Source organism: Homo sapiens, chromosome 2 (genome assembly GCF_000001405.40).
Source record: "Homo sapiens chromosome 2, GRCh38.p14 Primary Assembly".
In the NCBI taxonomy this organism is placed as follows: domain Eukaryota; kingdom Metazoa; phylum Chordata; class Mammalia; order Primates; family Hominidae; genus Homo; species Homo sapiens.
In genome coordinates this window covers 232,255,712-232,281,309 of record NC_000002.12, presented here as the reverse complement: position 1 = coordinate 232,281,309, position 25,598 = coordinate 232,255,712, and the positions used below count along the sequence as shown (strand labels likewise).

At 44.9% G+C, this 25,598-nt stretch overlaps 1 protein-coding gene across 4 annotated transcripts in view, besides 4 other annotated features; it reads right to left on the bottom strand.

Moving 5' to 3' along the window:
• Positions 1 to 25,598, bottom strand: part of DIS3L2 (DIS3 like 3'-5' exoribonuclease 2) — a 382,638-nt gene that overhangs the window by 63,041 nt on the left and 293,999 nt on the right. For 3 of the 4 annotated variants that reach the window (NR_046477.2, NR_046476.2, NM_152383.5), the window contains one exon: positions 17,870 to 18,103. Coding sequence is in view for 2 of the 4 variants with exons in the window: in NM_152383.5 (NP_689596.4) it covers positions 17,870 to 18,103 (234 nt within the window). In the remaining 2 variants the exon portion in view is untranslated. The remainder of the gene's footprint in view (positions 1 to 17,869; positions 18,104 to 25,598) is intronic. The other variant, NM_001257281.2, reaches the window with a different exon arrangement.
• Positions 3,956 to 4,471: an enhancer, noted in NCBI's record as "OCT4-NANOG-H3K4me1 hESC enhancer chr2:233141549-233142064 (GRCh37/hg19 assembly coordinates)". NCBI's record gives its function as "activates a minimal SCP1, AML or CMV promoter by ChIP-STARR-seq in naive H9 embryonic stem cells {active_cell/tissue: H9 hESC(naive)}" and the evidence as "EXISTENCE:reporter gene assay evidence [ECO:0000049][PMID:30033119]".
• Positions 4,117 to 4,411: a silencer, noted in NCBI's record as "tiled region #824; K562 Repressive non-DNase unmatched - State 24:Quies". NCBI's record gives its function as "represses a minimal TATA promoter and a strong SV40 promoter by Sharpr-MPRA in K562 cells {active_cell/tissue: K562}" and the evidence as "EXISTENCE:reporter gene assay evidence [ECO:0000049][PMID:27701403]".
• Positions 4,948 to 4,997: a silencer, noted in NCBI's record as "silent region_12457". NCBI's record gives its function as "represses an Ori minimal core promoter by ATAC-STARR-seq in GM12878 lymphoblastoid cells {active_cell/tissue: GM12878}" and the evidence as "EXISTENCE:reporter gene assay evidence [ECO:0000049][PMID:35858748]".
• Positions 5,048 to 5,097: a silencer, noted in NCBI's record as "silent region_12456". NCBI's record gives its function as "represses an Ori minimal core promoter by ATAC-STARR-seq in GM12878 lymphoblastoid cells {active_cell/tissue: GM12878}" and the evidence as "EXISTENCE:reporter gene assay evidence [ECO:0000049][PMID:35858748]".

Below are 25,598 nucleotides of genomic sequence, written 5' to 3'. Positions count from 1 at the left end.
CTCCTGCCTCAGCCTCCCAAATAGCTGGGACCACAGGCGCCCGCCACCACGCCCGGCTAATTTTTTGTATTTTTAGTAGAGATGGGGTTTCACCATGTTAGCCAGGATGGTCTCGATCTCCTGACCTTGTGATCCACCCGCCTCGGCCTCCCAAAGTGCTGGGTTATAGGTGTGAGCCACCGTGCCCAGCCGAAAACACTCATATTTCAAGGCAGAGCAAACAAGTTCCTCCAGATCAGCCCTGGTTACATCCCCAACATTTCCCACCACCACTGGGAGCCCTTCCTCTGACACAGCCACACCAATGGCCTGTACATTCCAGAACAAACCAACCCACGGCAATGCTCTGCCTGGGACATTCTTGGAGAAGCCATTTCCAGGCTGCTCTCAACTGCCTTGCCTTACTGGAACTGGAATCTTCTGCCAGCTTCTACAACCTAGCATGGATCACAGAGTGGACCATGCATTTCTTGAAGACAGAGCTGTGTTTTATCTCTCTTGCGGTGATACAGTGCCAATTATCATTGTTGTTTTCTGAGCACTTCGGCTGCAGTGTATGGAGGGCCTCTATGTAGCTTGGCTGAGGTTGGTCATCTCACAGATTTCCATCAAACATTAGCTGCACATCCTTCCCAGGCAAGCAATCCTTGGTCTCTCACCCACACCAGGCTTTCTTCCCACCACATTACACTCCAGCTGTTCTGAGGAAAACTCCATTCCAATGGCAGTCATAACTAGCAAGCTGCCTTGTTGACTATAATTTTTTAAAGCCTCTCAGTTATGAGATTAAAGCATGATTGGGTGAGTCACTGACATGGGTGTTCACATGTAATCGGCAAAGTCCTGTGTTTGGCACCATTCTTCATTTCAACTTTGTGCAACAGTTAGAAGGACTTATCTAGAAAGTTTGGAGGTTTTTCTCTAATCATCCCATACCCTCTTTTCAAATGATACAATCTTCAGTTTGATGCCAAATCTTAAGCCAGAGAAGCCTGGTATCTGTTTAAAAGCCACCCCTCGGGCAACTTCTAAGGCACACACCTCCTTTTCAGATGGCTCACAGAGAGCATCATGCCTGGCAAGGCTCCTAGGACCAACTCCATCCCAAATCTTCTCAGGTGCAACTGTTTTCCAAAAGAAACTTCTAGGCCTGGGCAATATGTTTTAAAAAAGGAAGAAACTAAAATGTAAATCCTAAAATTATAAAACCTTCAGAAGAAAACAGATGAAAATCTTTCTGACCTTGGGTTAGTCAAAGGTTTCTTAGATATGACACCAAAAGCACAATCCATAAAATAGATTGATAAATTGGACTTCATAACAATGAAAAATTTCTGCTTTTCAAAAGACAGGAAAAGATAAGCCAGAGAGAATGGAGAGAGAAGAAATGAAATGACAAGCCAAAGACTAGGAGAAAGTATTTGCAAATCACAAACCTGGTAGAGGATTTGTATCTAAAATATTTTTAAAAATCCTTTCCAGGCCAGGCGTGGTAGTTCATGCCTGTAATCCCAGCACTTTGGGAGGCCGAGGTGGACAGATCACGAGGTCAGGAGTTTGAGACAAGCCTGGCCAACATAGTGAAACCTCATCTCTACTAAAAATATAAAATAATTAGCCGGGCGTGGTGGTGGTTGTCTGTAATCCCAGCTACTTGGGAGGCTGAGGCAGGAGAATCACTCGAACCCAGGAGGTAGAGGATGCAGTGAGCTGAGATTGCACCACTGAACTCCAGCCTGGGCGATAGTGCAAGACTATCTCAAAAAACAAACAAACAAACAAACAAACAAACAAACAAACAAACACACACACCAATTCTCCAAACTCAGTAATAAGAAACCAAACAACCCAATTAAAAATGGGCAAAAGATATGAACAGACACTTCACCAAAGAAGATATGCAGACAGCAAGTATACATATGAAAAGATGCTCAACAGAATTTGTCATTAGGGAAATTCAAATTAAAACCACAATGAAATACCACTATGCACCTATCACCACACCTAAAAAACAAAACAAATAAAAAACTGACAATACCAAGTGCTGACAAGCACATAAGAAATAGAATTCTCAGCTGGCCATGGTGGCTCACGCCTGTAATCCCAGCACTTTGAGAGGCCGAGGTGGGTAGATCACCTGAGGTCAGGAGTTTGAGACCAGACTGACCAATATGGTGAAACCCCATCTCTATTAAATACAAAAAATAAGCTGGGCGTGGTGGCACATGCCTATAATCCCAACTACTCAGGAGGCTGAGGCAGGAGAATCACTTGAACCCAGGAGGCGGAGGTTGCAGTGAGCCAAGATTGTACCATTGCACTCCAGCCTGGGCAACAAGAGCGAAACTCCATCTCAAAAACAAAAACAAACAAACAAACAAAAAATTGCTGATGAGAATGCAAAGTGGTATAGTCACTTTGGAAAACTGGAAGTTCTTTATGAAGTTAAATATACACTTAACCATATGACCGAGCAATCTTATTCCAAATATTTACCCAAGTAAAATGGAAAAAATGGTCATACAAAAGCCTGTAGGCAAATACAGCATTATTCATATTGCCAAAAACTGGAAACTAGCCAAATATTCTTCAACTGGTAAGTGGATAAACAAACTGTGGTATATCTATACAACAGAATACTACTCTGCAACAAAAGGGAATGACCACTGATACACACAACAACATGGACGACCCTCAAATGCACTTTCATGCTAAGTGAAACAGGCCAGACTTAAAATGCTACCAACGGAATGATTCCATTTGTGTGACATTCTGGAAAGGCAAAACTATAAAGAGGCAAAACAGGTTAATGGTTGCCAGGGGCTGAGGCTAGGGAAGAGGAACTGACTACAGAGGGGCACGTGGGAATTTTCTGGGGTGATGGAATTGTTCTGTATCTTGATTGTGGTGGCAATTACATGACTATACGTGTAGCTTGCAGAACTGTACACTAAAAAGGGTGGATTTTACTGTATGTAAGTATACCTTAGCAGGGAAAAAAGTGCTTTTAGCTAAATGTGGCTGGTAGGTCTAGTGCTTAAGGTATTATAAGATTCTAGTGATACCATATAAAATGGTAAAATGTGCCCTTTCACAGAAATGGCAAAAAGAGGATTGAAGAGTTGATTGAGCCCACAAGCAGGAAAACAAATGCGAGTCAAAGCAATAATGAAACACAATTTCCAATCTATCGTATTAACAAACTCTCAATTTAGTGAGAAGCAGTAACAATGCACTATTGTTTCCTGCTGAGGAAAACCTAAATTAGTCTAACCTTTCTGGAAAATTCAGTCATGTGCTGCATTAAGAAAGTTTTGGCCAACGATGGGCCCCATATCTGCCAGTGGTCCCATAAGATTAGAATACCATATTTTTATTGTGCTTTTCTACGTTTAAGTGTACAAATACATAGCACTTGTTCCAACTGCCTGGAGTATTCAGCACAGTCACATGCTGTACAGGTCTGTAGACTAGGAGCAGCAACTGTGTAAACCACAAAGCCTAGGTGGGTCGTAGGCTATCCCATCTAGGTTAGTCTAAGTACACCCTATGATGTTGCACACTGACAAAATCACTTAACGACATATTTCTCTGAATGTGTCCCTGTCATTAAGCAATGTGTGACTGTAATCTCAAAGTCAAAAGCTCTAAAAATGTACACGTACACGCCTTAGGATATATAGAAAAATGTTATTACTCAGTGATAGGTGAACAATGGCTGCTTTTGGTCAATTTCTAAATTTTTATAAAATAAATATGTATTACTTTTATAATAAAATAATAAAAGGTAGTAAGAAAGAGAAAAGTAGCACAGAAAAAAAAGTTAATTTCCTTCAATCTAGTAATTTTAAGAATGTACTCCTAAGGAAATAATCCAAAATGATTTTTGAATTTTATGCATAAGAGTATTAATTGCAGTGTTATTTATAACAGCAAAAACTGGAAACATTCCAGCTGCACCAACGTTAGCGGGTGTGATGCACTCTGGCCTAGTTATCAAAACAGGATGAAATACTTTGCAGCTCACATTTGCGTGACTTGGGGCGTGATGTTCAGAGCTGCATCCCTTTGCCTTCCTTGCTCCCAAATCTTACCCCATTAAGGAACTCAGCACCACCATGCCTAGGCTGATCCCTCACCACGGAGCTCCCTTCAGGGACCTAGCCAAACCAGACTGTTCTGCTTCCCTGCAGGGGGCAATGAGGCTCACTCTGCCTTGCATTTACATTTCAAATCCTCCCCCACCTCCCAGATCGACTGGAAGTATCATAAAGGAGGCGATGTCTCCATGCCATGGCTGCTGATGGCCACCATCGTTTACTGTAGTCCTTCCAAGTTCACCTCTGTGTTAAAGTAGCTCTTCTGTGAAGACAGAAGTGGGCCCTTTCTCACCATCTGGCCACACAGCTAATCCCTGCTGGGTGCTTGCTATGTGTCAGGCACTGTTCCAAGTGTTTTACGGGTACATCTCATCTAACCTAATATTCCTATAACGTAGGTACTGTTATGCTCTCCATTTCACTGACAAGGAAACTGAGGCACAGAAGAGTTAGAGTCACACAGCTAAGTGAGGGAGTCGGGATCAGAACCCAGGCAGTCTGACCCAGGGTCCATGCTCTTGATCACTACATTCTCTTGTTGCGCAGGAGATGTTCAAATAAACAGTCATTGACTGGAAGCTGGTAGCAACAGGAGAGCTGAGAGTTGGGGCCTGGGGCAGTCTGGAGTGGAAACATGTACCAAAAAGGAACAAGTCTGAGCGAGGCCTCTGGGCAAACAGGACAGAACTCCACAGGGACCAACAAGGTAGTCTTGGCAACCAGGGGTCAGGAATCCCAGCCAGGAAACTAGGCAGCCAGGAGGGTCCAGGAAAGATAGGAGCTCTGCTCCCCTCGAGGTGAGCTCAGCTGTGCTCTGGCATAGCCACCAGGGAGGTGGGTAAGCCTGAGAGCTTGGCTGGCAGGTGGCAGGCAGGAGAATGAAAGGGGAGAGCGCCCTGTTATTTACGGGTCGAAACTGACAGTAGCAAATCAGTTTCAAACTGCCTAATGGCCAAGCCAGCATTCTCAGAGCTCAGTCACAGCTCTCTGTTCAAATGTGCTTCGAAACCAGTAGACTCTGCTATTCATTAGCACATCTTCTTATTTAGGAGGCTACCAGCCTCATGCTGACAAGCAGATAAGAAACCTGTTGGGATTCCCTCCCTGGGTGTTGCCCTCATCTCCATCTACTCTGGCAGATTTCCTTTACCCCAGGAGGTCACGATTCAAGGAGCAATTAAATAATTTCTAATTTGTTTTTAGCATTTCTAGTATAAGAGCAAGTTGCTAGGAGAAAACTTTTAAACAGTTCCCACATTTCTAACTGACTTTGAAAGTGGCCCCTTCAAACCACAGCTGGTGTTACTGTAGAACACGAAAGCAGCCACGTGCACACCTGCTGTCCAGGCTCTTCCTGTGCACCCCTGTCCCATCTGCCTCTACGTCTTCCAGGAGACAGTAAGCCACTCTGAGTGCTGTGACCATGTTCTAACCTTGTCTTTGTCCCGGACACCTAGCAGATTACCTTGTACCTGGTAGATACTAAAAAAACATGTGGGCAATTAAAAAGGTAAATCAAAAGGAATATTTTAAAGTTATAAAATTAAAATAATTTAAAGCTCTTAAATTGTCTTTAGTCTAAAAATATCTGCCATGTCACTTAACAAGGGAATCAAGAAGTATTATAAAGCAAAACAAACCGTGCTACAATACTATCACTCTTTTAAAAATGTGGGAGTTTCTTGAGGAAGAGCAGTACCACATTTTCACCTTGTAGACAATACAATGGGCACAGTGTCCCTGGGCACCCATGGACCTCAGAGGTGACATCAGATCACTGTGAACAGCTCTGAGCTAGCCGAGTGATGCCCCACTAAAGGACTGCATACCTCTTCTGTGCCCAGCACCATGCTAGATTTACAAATCTGAAGGAAGCAACAGTAAGACATCTGCCTTCTTAACAGTTATAGTCAAGAATGCAGGCAGGGAGGAAAATAAAAAGGAGTAAAGAAAGAAAACCGCAAAACAAAACGAATGAAAGCTGATGGTGTTCCGCACCAGGCACCTAGGGGAGAGATGGGGAATGGGGCCAGAGATATTGGAGGAAGAGGAAGTCTATTTGGAGCAGGCTTCTAGAGGGAGTGAGGTGTGTAGGGTTGCGGGGATCAAATGGAGGCCCAGACTCTACAGAGGCAAGGCAGGAGGGAGGAGGAAGGATAGGGGTTAGTGGGAAGCAGGGAACACCCACACCAGGCTACCTGACAGAGGCCCCCAAAGGCTGGGGCACTTAGATTTGATGTAGAAATCCAGTCGTTCTCACAGGCTGGTTTGAGATCAAACAAAATGAGAAAAAGATAGGACAATTAAATAGGTTTCCACCAAGTTCAACCAAGTCAACGTAAAAGACTGCTCCATATTGTGAAATTATGTCGTCTTTGTTTTCATGCTAAAATGTTTTCATTTATAAAATAATGAAGATAGTAGATGGTAACTGGCTTTTTAAAGAAAATGTCCTTGCTTGGTAAAGTAAAAAGGCAACAATCTTATTATATCTTGTCTTCAAAACAGTTTTGGAAATCTTACTGATCCATGATATTTACTTAATAAGACTGCAGGCTCTTGAGTGGCAAGGGGAAAGCAGCATTTGGGGAAACTCAGTCTGGCAGCAGCCTTTAGGACAGAGAGCAAACAGAACAAAAGGATTCTGGCCTTCGCAGCAGAGCCCCAGCTCACTGAACAATGAAAACCGAAATAAACTGGGCCTGTCCCAAGAAGCAGTCATGGTTTAAATCTAAGGGTCAGCTGCAAGGGTTCCCCTTCCCTAATGCAGGTTTTACTAACGTCAAAGAATTCCACGTCTCTGATGTAGCTGTTTGGCTCACATATGAGTGACGTGGAGTGTGACATGGAGGCAGGGCAAGGACGTGCAGTGTGTCCCGTGAACAGAAAGAGGAGAGTCCAAGTGCTGCCTAATTATGAGTATAATTACCCAAAAGCCAGGGTCCTAGAGGAGCCAAATTCTGTTCCATTTGTCAAGGCCCCTAACTTGAAAGGTTCACATCTCTGAGAGGAACAAGGGGTGCTGGCTGGGGTTCTGCTCACCCCTGGAAGTTCCTATCACCTGGTCAGTGCAGGAACCCTATGTCTCACTTCATGTCCCCTGGAGATGCGAGGCACTTAGGTTTGAGTCATCTGGGCACACTTTCAACTTCAACCGGGATATAAGTTATCTTCCTCTCTTAGACAGTCCAGCAGCAGCTAACACAGAACCTCTGTCTTATGGGAATTATCTCCATTAAAAGCAAAAATAGGTTCTGATCAGAATTTTGCAGAAGGAGCATTAGACTGCACAGCCACCTTGATACACAAATCGCTTTCATCCCCATCATGGGTCTAGGGACTAACAGCTAATGGTAGCTGACCCTAGAGAACCTTCTGAAGTTTGGTGCCTCCCTACCTTTCCATGCCAGCAGGCCAGCATCTCCCTTCCCAGCATGGCACACTGGGGTCTCTTTCCCTTCCCCTGGAGTGCCCCTTCCACCATGCTCCCCTGAAGGGGACACAGTTGGTCTGAGAAGTGAGCACCGAAGTGCTCAGGATGCCTCAGAAGCACTGCCAGGCCCTGGGGGTGCCGAAGTTTCCTGGCTCCTCACACCTGTTCAGGCAACTCCACCTTGAGAAAGTCCTCATTATACCTTGTTCTAAACCCTGGATGCCCCAGCAAATAATCAAACACCCAGCCCTTTCATTCACAAGGAAAGAAAACCGCCCTGGCTCATAATATGTATCTAATCCTCTTATATAAACACGCCTCTCTTCTAGAGCTACAATCCACTCTCCTGAACACAGCTACCATCATCTTTTTTAAAAGATCAATATGTATAGTGATGTTTAAAGACCTTGAAATGCCTGGTTAAAAATGAGCACTGGGCAGGGGCTGGGGATACAAAGGTGGACAAGATGTTGTCTTTACCCTTAAGAAACTCACAATCTTAGAAAAGGAGACAGGGAAGCAAAAGGAAAATGGCAAGACAATGTGACAGTGTGATAAAGACAGGTAACAGGTATAAATAAAGTATCAGGGAAACCCTAGGAAGGAGGGGTGGATGGGCTGGCCCTGCCTAGGAAAAACAAATGTGAACTTCTCTGCAGCAGGATTTGGAGTTTCAATCTTCAGCTTCAAAAGGTGAACCTAGAAGGTCACAGGGTGAAGGTGGAGAAGGTCACAGGGTGAAGGTGGAGGAGTAGGCTGGGGGTAGGACTTTCTTCATCTATAAGAAATGAGCCTGGATATAGGCAAGCAGAAAGAACCAGAAGGCAAGTGAAATGCTTCTAGAAGTGGGGTGGGAGTCAATTTTGCTTTCAGAGTTCTTCTGAGGATCTGCACTGGCTGTTCTGACCAAGAGCAGAAGCATTAGCCACTGGTCCTCACCAGCAGACCCTGCACTGGAAGGGCACCTAGCAGAGAAGGTCGCACAAGGGCCATCCCCAGTTCCAGTCTGATAGAGGACATGGTTCTCTCTGTCTCTGGCTACTTTCTGCTCTCACTAATCACTCCAATCAGTTTCTTTTTACATTAACTACTTCTGGGCTGTTCTGTTAGATTGCCTTCTAACCCAAACGGTATCAGTAATAGATGGAATAATCTCAGTCTGATATGCATGACTATTTCTCAGTGGGTTCAGCACTCAGAGAGAGGAGTGAGGGGATAAATCCCTTACCTCTCACAGCGTGGGTACTCCATACCTTTCAGCTCCTTTTCCCTTTCATCACAGTGTGGCTCACGGCTTCACCCTCCAAACTGGCCTTCTTTCCCTAATCCCATCCCACCAAATAACCATCGGGTTTGCGATTCTGTCAGCCCTGTTTCAAGAGACTGTGCCCTTGCTTTTATCTTATTGGTGTTTTTTAAAGTACATACAGTTCTCAAATTGCTGAAGCAGCTTGAGGGTAGAAAGTTTGTCTTCTGCTGCCTAAGGCTCCTTCACAGAACTGTGAGCAGTATTTGTAACACACAGGAAGCAACCCTCCTGTACTGGTCGGATATCACCTCTGAGTCTGTATTTTTAACAACTTCCAGAATAATGCAACCTGTATTCCTTCTAATTTTTGAAAATGATGAGTAAATGACTAGGTGACTTGCCTACAAGGAGAGTAAGCACATGAAGAGTTCAGGGTTATAATAATGAGCCACTCAACAGAATGAATCTGATGCTTAATGACACATATTAGTTTTTATGCACTCGTGAACAAGCCAGAAATAGTGGCCACCACACATAAGTGGCTGTAATTAGTGTTGCTTATATATAATTAGGTCAAGTTTTCAAGTTTGTCTATTGTTCATGCCTTGGGATGCATAACCATGGATTGCTTTCCTTGATTCCATAAAGTGTACTAACTAAATCAATCTCTGTCTCTTCCTTTTTCTCAAAGGGGAGATTCCAACACCCGCGACGGCTGAAATTCACGCTCCCAGGTTCTCCCCAAAGCTCAGGGATGCAGCTTGTTCCACCCCTCACTGCTTCCTCCTCCCACTCTCTTCCACGGAGGCTGTCCTAGATAGCCTGAGTGCTGAACAGCTAAGAGGGCACACATTCTTGGCTGTGGATTTACTTTATAAATGAGATGAATAAATTTAAATGAAAATTTTGCTAATATTATTATAAAATTGGTAACTGGGAAAATGTAGGAGGCTAATATTCTTCAAGCCTCGCTGACTCTAGAACTATCTCCACGGTTGAAGTAGTAAGTCGTCAATGTTTAAATGGAAGCCTTGAACTTCTAGCAGAAGCCTTCCTGTACTGTTTACTACTACTTTCAAGAGAAGTGTAGCAATTCTTATGGGAGCACAGATTATACAGAGCGATTCTGTTTTCAACTGGATTTCCTTATAATTATTCATGTCAGACCAACTCAAACAATGCCCAAGAGGTAATACACGCAGGAGGTAAGAGAAAAGACTAGTGAAGTTACAAATGTTCTCTGAGGATCTGAGAATGCAACAACAGTTCTCAGCCCCACTTCAAACACAATGGGTTTCTTTAAGGATTCTAATGAGAGGAAAGGACCTTAACTTGGGGCAGGGGTCATTCCCCAGTCTCAGCATTAGCAAGAGTTTAGCAAGATACTGTCAACCACCTCTTTCAGCTGTTTTAAATTTTAGGACCCTTGTAAGTACTTTTTAAAATAAGTAACACAACGAGAAGTGTCTGTGACACATTGAGCTCTTTGTAGAGAGGAGCTCATGAAAATAAAATATGAAAGATGAAGGAATAATCTAAGACCACAACCACTGGGATATTTCAGAGACCTAGACACCTGAGAGAGACAGAGAGAGAGAGAGAGAGACGAGACAGAGAGAGAGAGAGAGAGAGAGAGAGAGAGAGAGAGAGAGAGAGAGAGAGAGAGACGAGAAAAAGAGAGCGCGCGAGTGCGCCAGAGCTCCGTGTAGGCAGAGAACTCCTGACAGATGTTTCCATCTAAGGTACCCTGATTCACATACTACTGAAGGAGTATAAATTGGTACAACCTCTCTGGAAGGGAATGTGGCAATATGTTTCAGTATTAATCTTAAATATATCCATATCCTTGATGCTGTCATCACAGTTCTAAGACTGTCCTAAGAAAATAATCAGAGATCAGGTCAAAGATTTACGAACACAGATGGCCATGGCCATGGTACTATTATTTGTAGTACCAAAAAAATCAGAATCTAATTTAAATATTCAAAATTGGGGAGTGGCTGAATGTTTAAGAGTATATTCATATGACAGAATATTATGTAGGTATTATAATGTTTTAGAAGATTTTTTAATGACATAGGAAAAACTCATTAGGTAATATTTAAGAGCAGAATATAAATAAAAACTATACATATGTTATGCTAGACACCCTTCCCTCCTGCTATGAAGTGATAAGGGGCAAATGCACAAGGAATTATACCAAAATATTAACCATGGTTATTTCTGGGTGATGGGACTATAGGTGATTATGATTTTTTCTTTATATTCTTGTATTTTCTAAATTTTCTAACATGAGAACATATTACTTTTATGATAAAGCTTCCTTCCTAAAGGAAGAAGAGGGGACCGGAGAGGCCTAGTTATGGAAATCATCATCTCTCTTCTCGACCTCCACCACGGTGGTGTCCCCAGGTGGTACTACCATGTGCCTAAACTGGAAACCTGATTCCCTGATCCCTAGCCTCTGATCCTGCCCCTCCCCTCCGCATCTAATCAAGAGAGTCAATTTGCTACAGGCTTGTCGATTTTCTTCCCTCTCTTGGGTCGGTCCATCATCTTCTCTCACCCCACGGTCCCTACCTCAGGTTAGGCCCTCATCATTTCTCTCTTGGATTATAAACTTCCTCTATTCTATTCACTTTTGGGAGGCTCTTTCTAAAACCCAGTTCTGCTCATGTCACTTACATATTTAAAATCATTCCATAGCTGCCCTGGTTCATTCCTACAGACTCCAAGGCCTAGCCTGTGTCTCCTCTAGCTCCTCTCTCTCTCTGCACCCTACACCACACACCCTGGAACAATCTGCCATTTCTCATCCCTCCCATGCTTGTACCAGCAGTCTGCTTGCCTTTGCAGCCTGGCTAGACCCTCAAGTCTTTTAGAAGGCCTAATGCCCCACTACTTCTGCTGGAAAATCTTCCCTGAACCCCTGAGACTGAGCTGGTCCTCTCCAAGACAGCTCACTGCACTATGGGCAGAGTTCTGTCACATCACTTTACATTTTCTGTGTGGCCTGCTGGCTCTCTCATTATTTTCCTATATTATTTATAGAAAAGCTCTACGACTAAGAAAACAGAATGATTCTACAAATATACTCAACCCTGTGATCAATAGCTTCCTCGTGTGTTTAAGTGACAACATAAATAATAAGACCAAGGAAGAGCCAGACAGGATAAATGTACCCATCCTTCCTACCTTGGATCAAATATATGGTACAAATATTAAACAGCAGAGCTGGAATGCTCATTTCTTGAAAGCGACTGTATTGGAGAGAAGGAACAGAAACAGATTCAACAAAACATACAGCTACATTTGGCAATGGGGGCAGTGTGGGGGAGAAATGCTACACAGTTTCCTTAGCGCTACATTTTGCCATGAGCAGTCCCCACCTTCAGCGCACCTACACGAGGCAGAGCCAGCATCTCTGCAAGTGGGCTTGGGTGGGATGAAGACCTGACTGTGAAGAGCTGCTGAGCTTGCAGAAGTGGGAAATGAGAACCCCTGCTCCTTTTGCTTCAGGCTAATTAAAGCGACCTGCCTGTAAATGGAATAAGGGAACTGATGCTAAACTGATTCATTCCTCTACTCCCCACCTCCCATTGGACTGGATAAGCATGGTACTAATCAAAGGAATAATTTACCTAATTGCATGAAGCCATCCTGAGAGTTAACTTAGCACGACTGTTCTCCATTACCCAGCCTGGCTTCCCTGTGAAGTGATGATGAGCTGCTAAAAGCTCACTGGATAGCAGGGCTGAATTGCTAGCTGGCTGTTTAAGCAGAGGTCAGCAAAGTATGGACCACAGGCCAAACCTGCTTTTGTATGACCCATGAGCTAAGACTGGTTTATGCATTTTTAAATGGCTGAAAAATAATCAAAGGAAGAACAATATTTTGTGATGTGTGAAAACTATATAAAATTCAAATCTCAGTGTTCTTAAAGTTTTGTTGAAACACAGCCACATTTATCCATTTAAAGCAACGCTGGTGTTTTCACACTACAACAGCAGAGTTGAGTAGCAGAGACAGAGACTGCACAGCCCACAAAGCCTAAACCATTTACTATCTGGTCCTTTACAGAAAATATCCGTCAATCCCTGCCTTAAAGGCTGGAACAGGTCAAGGTCATACATAACAGCATTCCACTGCAGCTTGGGTCCCAGGGTATTTAAAAATAATTTCCATTAACAAGGCTATCTTTACAATCAAGTCCACTCAAAGAAACTGCCTGCAGTTTGGGTTTCAAAATTGCACCAAGTAGGATTTATACAAGATGCAGTTGTGAAGCTCCTGGAGTTGAGAGTAATTTGCCTGGGAAGATGGTAACATCAGGTTTTCTCCACCACTACTTCAACTTCCTCTGAATTCCCAAAGTCAGTGACCCAGAAGGAACTGCTCACATCACCTAACCACCTGTCAGGGGACCCATGATGGTGCACAGCTTCCTGCAAACCTCATGCTTATTTTACATGGAAGCCCTCAAACAGAGTGGCTTCTGGGTACTGCCACCTGACTGATGAGGAAGAGGCTAGAGAGAGAACCCCAGCAGGCAGTAGGTGTAGCTTCCTAAAAATCAATCAATATTCCCAAGACACTTTCATAATGGGATTCTTCTGGCACCTGCCACCCTCCCTTGGTATCTTTTCTGAATGCCATGGCTAAGAAGCCTGAGGCCTTGTCTTCACATTATAGTCAGGCAGTCTCTGTAAAGGACCTAAGTGGGAAGGTGCCTGAGAACAGGCTTCGTGTCCCAAGAAGCAGAAGTGCCAGGGGACTCTGTGACCCCTACTCTCAAAGTCTATTAGTTGGGCCTGAATCACTGAGCAAGAACCAGGCAGAGAGCAAACTTCCCACAGTTCCCCTTCTCCCAAAGCTCAAGATTTGGATATGATTATAAAGCATTATGATTCCTTTTACTACAAACATAAAAAAGTCTGGGCCCCTGTTATGGGAGCTCCCTTTTCAGAAATGAGAGACATATGTTATAAATAAAATAAAACAAACATCTATGTTAAGTCCAAGAATTAACTTAGCAGCAGAAAACATGGAGATAGAAGAAACTACCTGGAAGGGGTATTACTCAACCCATCCAACCAAAAAGCACAAGAATGCATTTGGTATCTGCATTTGCTTTCTAAGCAATGAAACAAAGGAGTCATTCATGTACCTAGAACCTCTTTAGAACTAGGTTGAACTGTAGGTAAAGGAGACATTTGGAGCAGGTAATCCCACCTGGAAGGCAGTGCTTCCCTATCTGTTTCCCACCACAGTTCTAGGATATGAACTAGTATATACATATGCTAATATATGACAGCACACTAGGGTAAACAAGACTGCTAGTAGGTGGCCTTCATGGAACTGGGGCCAGACTAGGTGGCCCTGAGGGCTGAGGCTCACTAACTCAGACATGGGTTAGGCAGCTCCGGTCTAAGTTGCCAACTGCAAATACACAATGGTCAAGTTGCTCTACAGTTCTGAGGCTATGACTTCTGAACTAGTAGGTCCCTAACTCAACAAACAATCACCATACTAGTGCCGCACACTCAGCCCCCATTCATTCGGAAAGTCATCATGGTAAACTGACTTCTTGGAAAGGTGAAACTTGTGGTTTACACGCTTATTCTGAACCTAAGGGCATGATGTGTAAATAAATGGTACCCCCTCGCACAGACTCATCTCTAATTGAGGCTAGCTTAAATGGACTTTATTTTTTATTTTTTAAAGGACTGCCACCAAAAGCACGGACATAGTGGTCTGAGGCAAACAAAGCATCAGAGAACAATTCCAAACAGTAGGCTACTCAAAAAAGCACCAAGGAAAAATGGATTTTTGTGAGGACAAGGCAGGCAGTAGGGGCAGGAGAACAAATGCAGTGACTTCTGAATAGGGCCATTTAGCTGATTTATAAATGACCTCACCAGAGTCCTTTGCTGTGGGAGATTGATGTGCTCCTCCTTCCAAAGCTGGGGTCCATGGACTTGTTTTCGGGGGAACCAAGGAATCAACTCCAAGGGTGCAAAGCCCTTATTTTCAAACCTTAATTAACTGGAACCTAATTAGGACTTCGGAGGGTTTTCTTTCCACTTAAAAGGAAAATGTTTTTCTCTCTCAAGTCAGCATGGTGTAAATGAAGGCAAAGTGAACACAGGGCAATTTGAATTTCTTGCATATAAGCAACTCACTTAACCTTTAGGGGCTTCAGCTCTCTAACTGATAAATTGAGAAGGCCAATAGAGACAGATATCCAAAGCCATTTTCAGCAATAAGACTCTGATTCTGAGACATGCCAACAGATCTTTATCTATCAATAATCTGAGATCATTCTTCTATTTTGACAACTATACCCTATCCTCATATGAGCTGGGATCACCTGACAGTCTTCTACAGTTTTTACAGTATTTCATATACTTAATTCAACTGAACTTTGCAACAAACTGGTGGGGTAAAGTCTCTAAAACGTTATGACAGAAACTTTCCTGTGATGTGCTTCAGCAGCCATTGGTTGGTTATTCTAGAAGTTAGAAAAAGAAGAGAATCAAACAGAGGAAGACAAACCCATCACTAAATGTTTTAATTTATATAGATGTATATTCATTCACTAATTTTTTGTAAATGTAAGGCTTTCAAAAAGGGAATGCTAACCGGAATTCTACATAGTCTTTTCTGAATAAACTACACTCACAATTCACTGTTCATACGTTACCATTTGATTTCTTTAAAAAGAATGAGAATTTAGACATTTATGAAGCAATTTGAATACAGAATGCTTAATGGATTTTGTAATTATCCCCTGTTTTACAACTGAATTTTTAAAGACTTATCCTTATCCAGGTCTTTCCAAAACATTTAACTTAGTTTTTATAAAAACAACAGCTTCTTTTTTATGTTCGTATTTGATCGGTTTCCCTGATATTTAGTTAAACTGCATAATTACAACAAGTACAACTGGCCTAGCCAGGTTTGAGAATACACATACCACTCCCCTGGTGGGGGCCAAGGGAGAAGGCAGTACTAGACAGCCGGTGCCACCTACTGCATCACTGATCACTGCGTTTTACAGAGGGAAGGATGAGCACTGGCTGAGATATTGTGGGGCTGGACTAGAGCTGGGGGAGGGAGGCCAGGGATAGAGAGACAGATTTTGGCTCGTTAGCATCCAGTTAGTAGTTAGAATCACAAGAGGTCACTCAGGGTGGGAGTATGGATACAGAAAGAACAAAGGTTGGGTAGATCCCAGGGAATGCCAACCCTAAAGTGGTGGACAGAAGAGGCTTCTGCAAAGGGGGCCAGCAGGACATTACTGGAGATGTACAAAGAGAAACAGAGAACCAGGAGGTGGGTTTCAAAGGGGCTGGTGCAGGTCAGAAGTCTAAGAAGCAAGAACTGTAAAGTGTCCTGGGACTTGACAATCAGGCAGCCACCTGTAAATGAGAAACAGAGTGTGTTCACACTCCCATGAATGATTTCTTAAAGGAAGGAAAGTAGGTATTCTGTAATCCCCTATGCCTTTAGTTTCTCTTCCACCATGTCTGCTGTCTTCTTCAGCATCCGCTCTGCCTCTTGTCTCCCTGTCAGCATTCTCACGCAGACAGGCCTGCTCAGGCTGCCCGAGCCCAGGCTGGGGAAGGAGGAGCAGGAGAACTCCAGAGGCTACCCTGACTCTGCCACACACAGGCAGGACAGGTCATCCACTGGTCCCAATGGCAGCCACTTCTCCCTAGGCCCAGGGCAGCACCTATTTGCAATGCCTGCTTAGAAGCATTTGTGCAAGTCTGTTGCAAAAGGGAGGATAAAATCAGAACTTCAATCAGAAGGCTTTGCAAGGCCTTTCAGATTTCTCCCAGCTGACAGGCTCAGGGAAAGAAGTCTGCATGAGGCGGTCTGGTGAACAGTTCCACGCTCCTACCCACCTCATTTCAGACACGTGGAAACTTCCCAGAGCACACAACAAGCAAGGAAGGAGTGTTTGGGTGAGAAATATAAATGAAGGAGAAAAAAAGTCCATAATACAAAACATAGTCTCTCCTCTGTAATATACTGACAAGCAATGAAAAAAGAAATCCTGGGTCCTAACAGTTACCGACTCTCAGATATGGAAATTCAAGCAGGTTTAAGTGACAGCTACCTAAGTCCCAGAGGGCTGCCAGCAAGGCTGTGAGACTTCAGAGTTATCAATAACAATCCAGGCCAATGTTATTCAATAGCCAGTGTTCTACAGCAGGGGTCCCTAACTGCCGGGCCATGGGCCATACTGGTCCATGACCTGTTAGGAACCAGGCCGCACAGCAGGAGGTGAGCAGTGAGTGAGTATGACCACCTGAGCTCTGCCTCCTGTCAGGTCAGTGGCAGCATTAGATTCTCATAGGAGCTCAAACTCGATTGTGAACTGTGCATCCAAGGGATCTAGGCTACATGTTCCTTATGAGAATCTAACTAATGCCTGATGATCTGAAGTGGAAGTTTCATCCCGAAACCATCCCCTACCCCTGGTCTGTGGAAAAATTGTCTTCCACGAAACTGGGCCCTGGTGCCCAAAACAATGGGACCGCTGTTCTACAGTCTCCTCAGTTCTCTGCATCTTCAGATATTAATCTGGAATTTGTAAACAAATAACTCTTTTTTGGGAGATGAGGTATAAGAAGAAATACTTTTTTTCCAAGCCTTCGTATCAGATACTGGTCAGCTGCCTCCTAAATTTCCGTGTCTCCTATTCTTGCCTCCATTAAAGAACAGGTTTGAGTAGAGACCTGAGGTGAGGATCACAGACTGGACACAGCCTTACCAGGGAAGACCAGCTGGGGGTTTTGGTCAGAGCCACCCACACAGACCCACTCTTTGCCTTGGCTCATGTCATTAGGCCTCGTGTACCTGTGGAATCATACAAAATACAGAATATTTTGCATAATATCCTGTATTTGGAGAGTGAATGGGAGTTAGTTCCTGCCGGCCTCAGAGAACATGATTTTAGTGTGGTGCCTGGAGCAAAGAGAAGGAAGGAAGAGTCTAAGCCTGCCAAGCTGCGCTCATCCACGCTGGGTTCAGGCACGAGTCAAATCTGTTGGCTACACTAAAAAAACACGTACTGACCTGATCCAAACGAAGTGCGCCGTCCACAAAGCGCTGCTGGCGTAACTGCTTGGCAATTCCGTGGAGATTCAAGACGGCCTGGTGTACCTCCTCGCTGCTATGCTCTGGGGAAATGGGGGGCAGCTCTTTCGCAGGGATTTTCTCAGTTGGGCTTTCAATCATGCTCTGTGCATGCTCGTAGCTAAGTTTGGTGCAGGAGCGGATGATGGTCCGGCCAAACCATTCATCAAGGATCTGCAAAGATGGACAGATTACAAGGGAATTGTGAGGACAAATGTTTTTCAGGTTTTTCTTCCTTCAGCCATTCATCCATACACATTCAACAAAGATTTATTGAGCACTGACTGTGTGCTCGGAATGGTGGCAGGTTCAGGCTAGGCACCCAGATGAATCAGAGATGGAAGCTGCTGCCCTCAGGGAGCTTAGTCTCCACCTGGCGTGGAATTAATCCAATGGGCACTGGACACCTATGGACGGTCCCCAAGCACACCAGTGGCACAGGCAAGGCATGCTGGAGGCTTTTTCATTAGTTTCGGTGAGTGGGCATCAATGTCGACACTGAGAGTAGTAGAGGAGAGAGCTGCCAACAATGTGGCAGACAGGGACTCTGCAGGCTTGGGAACAGCTCGGATGTGGAGTGAGGGAGAAGGGGGAGGTGGGGCCACTGACAAAAAGAGTGAACACAGGTGGAGAAGCAAGATGAGGCTAGAAAGAGGAAACCCATTCCGACTTTTCCATTTGGGGCACATATGTAGAGACAGAAGTCTAGAACAGGCTTCTCAATCTTGGCACTGTTGGGCTGAATAATTCCTTGTTGGCCAGGGGGCTGAACTGTATATTATAAAATGTTCAGCAGTATCCCTGGCCTCTATCCACTGGATGTCAGGAGCACCTCTCCCTACCAAGTTGATAATCAAAAATGTCTCCAGACATGGCCAAATGTCTTCTAGGGGAAAGCTGGCCCAGGCTGAGAACCACTGGGCTTGAAGGAGATATACCCAAGTTTAGTGGTGGTGCCAGCCGAGCGGTGGGATTACCACTGAGGTGCATTTTATTATTTTCACTTTTCTGTATTTTGTATAATAAATATGTATTACTTTTAAAACAAAAAAAGGACATTAAAACATTTTGGGGACTCCTAGGTCTGAGGTTCAGGGAGAGATGTAGGTGAGGGGATCTGGCAGGCATTCGGATGTGGGCCTGGGCCGTTTGGAGGTGGAAGGGTCTATGGAAGAAAGGGCGGTTGGGGGAGGTGGGGCTGCTTGGCCTAACACCTCCTTCATGTTAAGGAGAGAAGAGAAGCCAGGGAATGAAAACAGTAGAAAAAACAAGAGAGCTGAGAGAGACAGGACAAAAACCAGGAGTGACCGATGTTAGGAAAAGCAGGAGAAAAGAGCTTTAAGAAAGGGGACTCAAAGACAACACAGGGCACTCAGAGAGCAATTGCTATGAGACAGGCATTGTTCACACTCTCCATATGGCAACTATTTAATTCTCATAACAATGCTATGAGGTAGGAATTTTGCTATCCTCTTCTTCAGTTGAGGAAACTAAGACATAGAGAAATTAAGGAATTTGCCCAAGGTTACACTGCTAGAGACTGGCAAAGCTGGGAACTGAACCCAGGCAGTCCAGCCCTAGAGTCTCTCTAAACCGCAAGTGTATGTCCAATGCCACTTGGATGTCAAGGAGGAGAAAACAAAGACAAGCTCCTGGCATTGAGCATTTGCTGGCTGGTGGTGTTTATGAAGGCTATTTTAGGAAAATATAGGACAGGGGCAGAGTCACACTGCAAAGGTTTAAGGCATGTACTGCAAATGGGTTCTGGAGACGCTGTGAGGAGGGCTCTAGCTCTTCTTACTCCCAGGGCAGCCAGAGCTTCGGCCTCCCATCAGCCTCATGCACACGTCCCCGGTGCTACTCAAACAGCAACATCTTCTGTGTGTGACATGACATGAAAAAACCTGGGAAGCACCAGGTTAAGGATAGGTGGGGGCATCGGAAGCGGAGGCAATGCAACCAGTGTGGATGACCACTTCCAAAAGAACAGGAGGGAAGGAGCGCTTTGGAATGAGCAGAACAGAGGGCTGTGTGGCAGTTGTAGGGTAAAGAAGAGAAACCAGCACTGAAGGAAGACTGAAGACACAAGAGAACAAAAGGGATCTTGGGCCAAATGGAGGCCATCCATCCTGGACAGAGGAAGCCCAGCCTGGTGGGGAGGAAGGAAGGAAGGAAAGGGCAGGAGACCCTGAAGGGAAGAAGAGGGAAGCTGAGAGCATGACTATCACAGAACCCCAATCTATGTAGTTGAGCATGAGGCAAAGTACAAAGGAGGCTAGGTGGAGTTTGAGGGCCTGAGGAGAATGGAAAAGCTCTGGATAAATGCGTGGAAGTGTATTTTCTGTGCAAGAAAAGGGAGGGAGCACCAGTCAAGAGTAGAACATTTTACCTTTTAACCTGGGCTTGCAGACATCCCCCTTGCCTTGCTCTTCACCAGCCAACCCTTCTGTTCACAAGCTCTCAGACAATGCTTTCCGAAAAAGCCAGTTGAAGAGTATGTAGGCATTCCCCATGGGGAAGGACTGAGCCCAGCCCAGGTGCTGTTCACACCACAAAGCCTCCAGGGAATACAGCTTCTGCCCTGAAAGGCTGGAGAGACCACTTTGGTACCTTCACCCTCCCTTAAAGGAAGAATCAATACTCTTGAAAAATGGCAGCCATGGGGTAGAGGAAAAGAATGGTGGCAACTACTCACATTTTTATCCAGAGCAAAGTCTTATAAGAATCTTGAATCTGTAATCACTGACTTTAACTTTTCTTTTAAAAAAATCCTGAAACTATTCTTTCCATATTATTCCAAGAACTACCACTATCCAAAGATATAAGGGATTCAAATAATCTCACAAATCTTCCACTGTGGCAAGCAGGTCTGAATTTGGCTCTCAGGAAGCATGTGTGTGCTGTGGGCAAAAGCAACTGTAGAGTCAATTCCAGGTACCACCTGACAGTCCCAGTGGGGAGTGCCATGTGCAGGTCTCCAGAAGAGTCTGAAGAGCCCCTTTTAGGCTCAGCCAGGCTTGTCCTCTTCGCACATCCACATTTCCTGAAGAGCTGCTCCAGCCTCCTCTGGAATGACAGGGCCATGACCTCTTCATTCTTGTGGTCTCAAGGGTTTCCCCTGGTGATTTAGCTTGCTTCCTTTTCTACATTTCATTCCAAACCCAGTCACTCCTCCTGTGCGTCTACATTGGGCTGTACAGTCTGCCTTCAGCATGCTCAGGGAACGTCAGTTTCAGTTCTATTCCACTGTTCTCTTTCACATTTCACAAGTGGTCTGGAGGTTCCCTCCAGCATCCAGCATTCAGGTCACAGGGTCTGCAGCCTCCCAGGGTCTGCGGTCTTTTTCCCTAGTGAATGCTCCAGCACAGGGCAACCACTGCACCCTGATCGGGCATTTGCTTTCACATAAGCCATGGGTCAAGAACTGCTTTCAAAATCTAGTGAATTTTGGCCAAGCACGGTGGCTCATGCCTGCAATCCCAGCACTTTGGGAAGTCAAGGCGGGTGGACTGCTTGATGTCAGGAGTTTGGCATCCTGGCCTGGCCAACACAATGGAACCCCGTTTCCACAAAAAAACAAAAACAAAAACAAAAATTAGCCGGGCATGGTAGTGCGCACCTGTAATCCCAACTACTCAGAAAGGTGAGGCATGAGAATTGCTTGAGTCTGGGAGGTGTTGGTTGCAGCGAGCCGAAGTTGCGCCACTGCACTCCAGCTTGGGCGACACAGTGAGACTCGGTCTCAAAAAAACAAAACAAACAGAAAAAAACTTAGTGAATGCTCCAGGCCCTCCTCCCTGAAATATTTATGCATAAAACGTAGCAGCAAGTTCCACGAGGTTCCCAGACACCCCTGTACCCTGCAGGCCCACGTCTCCTGGCTCTAAGCACATCTCTGTAGCTCCTTCTCACCCCTCTGATTGCTGGCCCTGACCAGGAGCCACTTGGAATCCTAAGGTATTCCTAAAATTGATTACCTGAGACTTGCCCAAAGCAGCAGCTTGTCACTCTTTACCAAAGCCTGCTCACCGCCTATGCTGGCATTGGCTACCAGTTCATTTGAGCTCCTTTTTTTTTTTCCTTAATGGGCACCTCTACTTTGTTTCCTTATCAGTCAAGATAGATAAGATGTCCCTTCCTAACAGCACATAGGAACACCACCAAATTGGAGACTGCAGTGCTGATGATCACTTTCCCATAGCTGTTTTGCTTCACTTCAGTCGTCTTCCTTAACGCCTGCAACCCTGAAAATCCATCCCAACCTTCTCTTTAAATACACGAAGGGCTGAGGTAGAAGCTTGAAGAGCCATCAGGAACTTCCTGCTCAGGCACAGGGACCTCTGGCAGCCGAATCTACTATGCCTTAACACAGTCCAGTGCTTCTGGGAGTCACACCTGACATGTACTAAAAAATGACTAGGCCAGGGAAAGAAGGCCTGAAACCATCTTCTGCAGACGCCAAGCAGAAAAGAAAGGAGTCTGTTGTCGTCTGACACAGAGAAAGGCAGCAAGAAAGCAAAGATCCAAATGGAGGGGGTCCTCGGAATAGCCAACCTCACAGTATGTAAGGCAGGCCTCTCTGTATGGAACACCTCATTACTTTCCAATTTGGAAACTGGATTCACATCAATGCCCAGTGCATAACCAAAGCCAGTGGCAGAAGACAAAAGGACAGAGTTTTTCACGGAAAAAGTAGAAACAGCAGGGAGAGCTTCAGAAACAAAACACTTCATAAAGAAGATCATGTCTTTCCTCTTTCCTTTTTTTTTTTTTTTTTTTTTTGAGACAGAGTCTCGCTCTGTCACTCTGTCACTCTGTCACCAGGTTGGAGTGCAGTGGCACGATCTGGGCTCACTGCAACCTCCGCCTCCCGGGTCCAAGTGATTCTCCTGCCTTAGCCTCCTGAGTAGCTGGGACTACAGGCACATGCCACCATGCCCGGCTCATTTTCTGTATTTTTAGTAGAGACGGGGTTTCACCATGTTGGCCAGGATGGTCTCTAACTCCAGACCTCGTGATCCGCCCGCTTTGGCCTCCCAAAGTGCTGGGATTACAGGCATGAGCCACCACACCTGGCCCCTCTTTTCTTTCTTAATCACAGGATTTGGGTCACTCTTCTGTAGGCAGGTGAGTTTACTGCACATACTCTGGAATACCACTGTTCAGAATGTCAAATTAAATACAGTGCCAACACTGACTGAAGGCGTATTACTGGGAAAAAACTACTGAAAAAGGAGTACATAATTATGTACTACAGCACTGTAATTCAAGGCCTACCTACTGTACTAAGTAAGACCGGAAGTAGTCTAACACTCGGAGTATTCTTAAACCTACTACTTCTAAAATCTCCTTAACACATCTGGGAGGAGTGCATTGTTCAGCCCATTTTACAGTTGAGAAAACAGGCCAGGAACTTGTCAAAAGTCATACAAACTCCTAAGTGGCGGCCAAGACCAGATCCAGTTAAAGACAGACCCAAAATCTAGTGTTACTTTTATTCCATTTCAGGTGAAGGTCATAAATTAGACAGAGGCAGATGATGAAGTAAAATAAACCAAGTATGTCTCAAACACACATCAACTTTCTATATTGATACAGAAGTATGACCACTTCCTTTGAAAATTATTCAGTTCCATTCAAATGTATCTTTAAATTTATCCTCTGAAAAATGTCAGCACTTCATTAAGATGTATCTCTGGCTGAAAAAACTGCAAGTGGGGTTAACTTATAATCTTAAATAATTAGGTACAAAATCACTTTTGCAGGAGCTCCGGGCTTCCGTATGCAAAATATTTTGTTCAAAAAAATATGAGGAAGAAAGAAACCTTTTCCTGACTGGAACAAAACCAGGCTGTTTGGAGTGACGGAGGGTGGGAGGGAGGTGGAGTGGATTTTGGCTGCTTCTTAGAGCTACGAAAACAGGGCAATCATCCTTAGTAGGGGCAGCCCGGCAGTGAGAAAAGTCAAAGGTGCCAAGAAGCAAGTGTCTGAAAAGGACTAGGCAGAGAGAGGACGGGCTGGAAGAGAGCAGAGAGAGGCAGGTCATGCCTGTGGTGGAAAGGACGCAAACTTGCTAGGGAAGGTCCTAGTAACTGCAGAGGACAGAGGCAGTGGGGTGGCTAGAGCAAACAAGAGGCTACTCCACAAGCCCCAGTCCTCACACTAGGGCCATCATCACTAAGCAAAGCTCAGGCTTCCCCTGAAAAAGGGAGAGACGAACACAGTAAGATTAAGGCATGAATATCTAGACTGAAGCACCATTGCACACAATCCACTTATACACCCAGCAGAATGCTCGCTTTCTCTTCACAGGTGGCTCACTGCAACTTCTGCCTCCTGGGTTCAAGCAATTCTCCTGCCTCAGCCTCCCAAGTAGCTGGGACTACAGGTGCCCACCACCATGCCTGGCTAATTTTTGTATTTTTAGTAGAGACAGGGTTTCACCATGTTGGCCAAGCTGGTCTTGAACTCCTGACCTCAGGTGATCTGCCCACCTCAGCCTCCCAAAGTGCTGAGATTAAAGGTATGAGCCACCATGCCCAGCCAAATATTTATTTATTTATTCATTCATTTATATTTTAGAAACAGGGTCTCGATCTGTTCTCAATCTGATCAAGTGATCCTCCTGCCTCAGCCTCCTAAGTAGCGGCAAGGCAGAGAGAAATTTTGATGTGGAAAGGGGGACCTCAGCAGTTGAAGTTGGCTAGCCTCTCTCGTTTCCAAGAAGGAGGAATGAAAGGTACTTGGGAGAATGATGGGTCTTAAAGGAAAGAGGAGTGGAAAGCAAGGTTGAGGTTGGAACCGAAGAAAAAAGGCTTGGAACCTAGTGACGAATAAAAGGATTCCCAAGTAGCACTGAAGGTTCAGCTGAGAAAGCCCCAACTGGTACACAACATAGTTCTACAATGTCCAATTCTCAGAATGGAATGAGTTAAGCAGGGAGGAAAAGATCTGCTCAGCTACAAGGAAGGGGCAGAGGCTTGAAGGATATGAGAAGATGGCAGGTGGGGAAACTCAACCTTGACTGATGTCAGGTCCCTGGAGCTGGGGAGGGGGCCTGCAGCACAGCAGAGAGCTCAGTTACACATAAAAGGCAGCTTCTCTCCTGTGAGCAGCAATGCTCCAGGACATGAGAGGAGATGCTGGTTGCAGGAAGACTCTGGAGTCTATGCATTTCCAGCACAGAAGACAGGCAGAAAAGAACAAGGAAAAAGTTACCATTGTAAGGGGGCGTTTTATCTTTTATTGTGAATGAGAGATTGGAAAGTTTTAATGGAGAGACAAGGCTTAAGATTCAGAAGGATCACTCTGACAGCTGTATGCAGAGGAGATGACGTGGGGCAAGAGCAGAGGCTGCAAGGACAGTCAGGAGGCCACTGTATCTGTCAAGGTGAGAGAGAATAGCTTGGACGCAGGTATTAGTGCCGGTAGTTAAGGAAGGGGGCTGATTCTGGAGGCATTCAGAAAGCAAAGCAGCGATGACACACTGGCAGACTGGATGCAGATGTAGCATGAGAGAAAGACCAAAGTCAAGAATGACCCCGTGGTTTTTGACCTAAGTAAATGGCTGAAATAGGCGACTTCCATAGTACACTCCAGGTCCTGACTAATCCTGTACAGCACACAGCAGGGATGTCACAGGAGACGCAAACTGAGGATAGCTAATCAA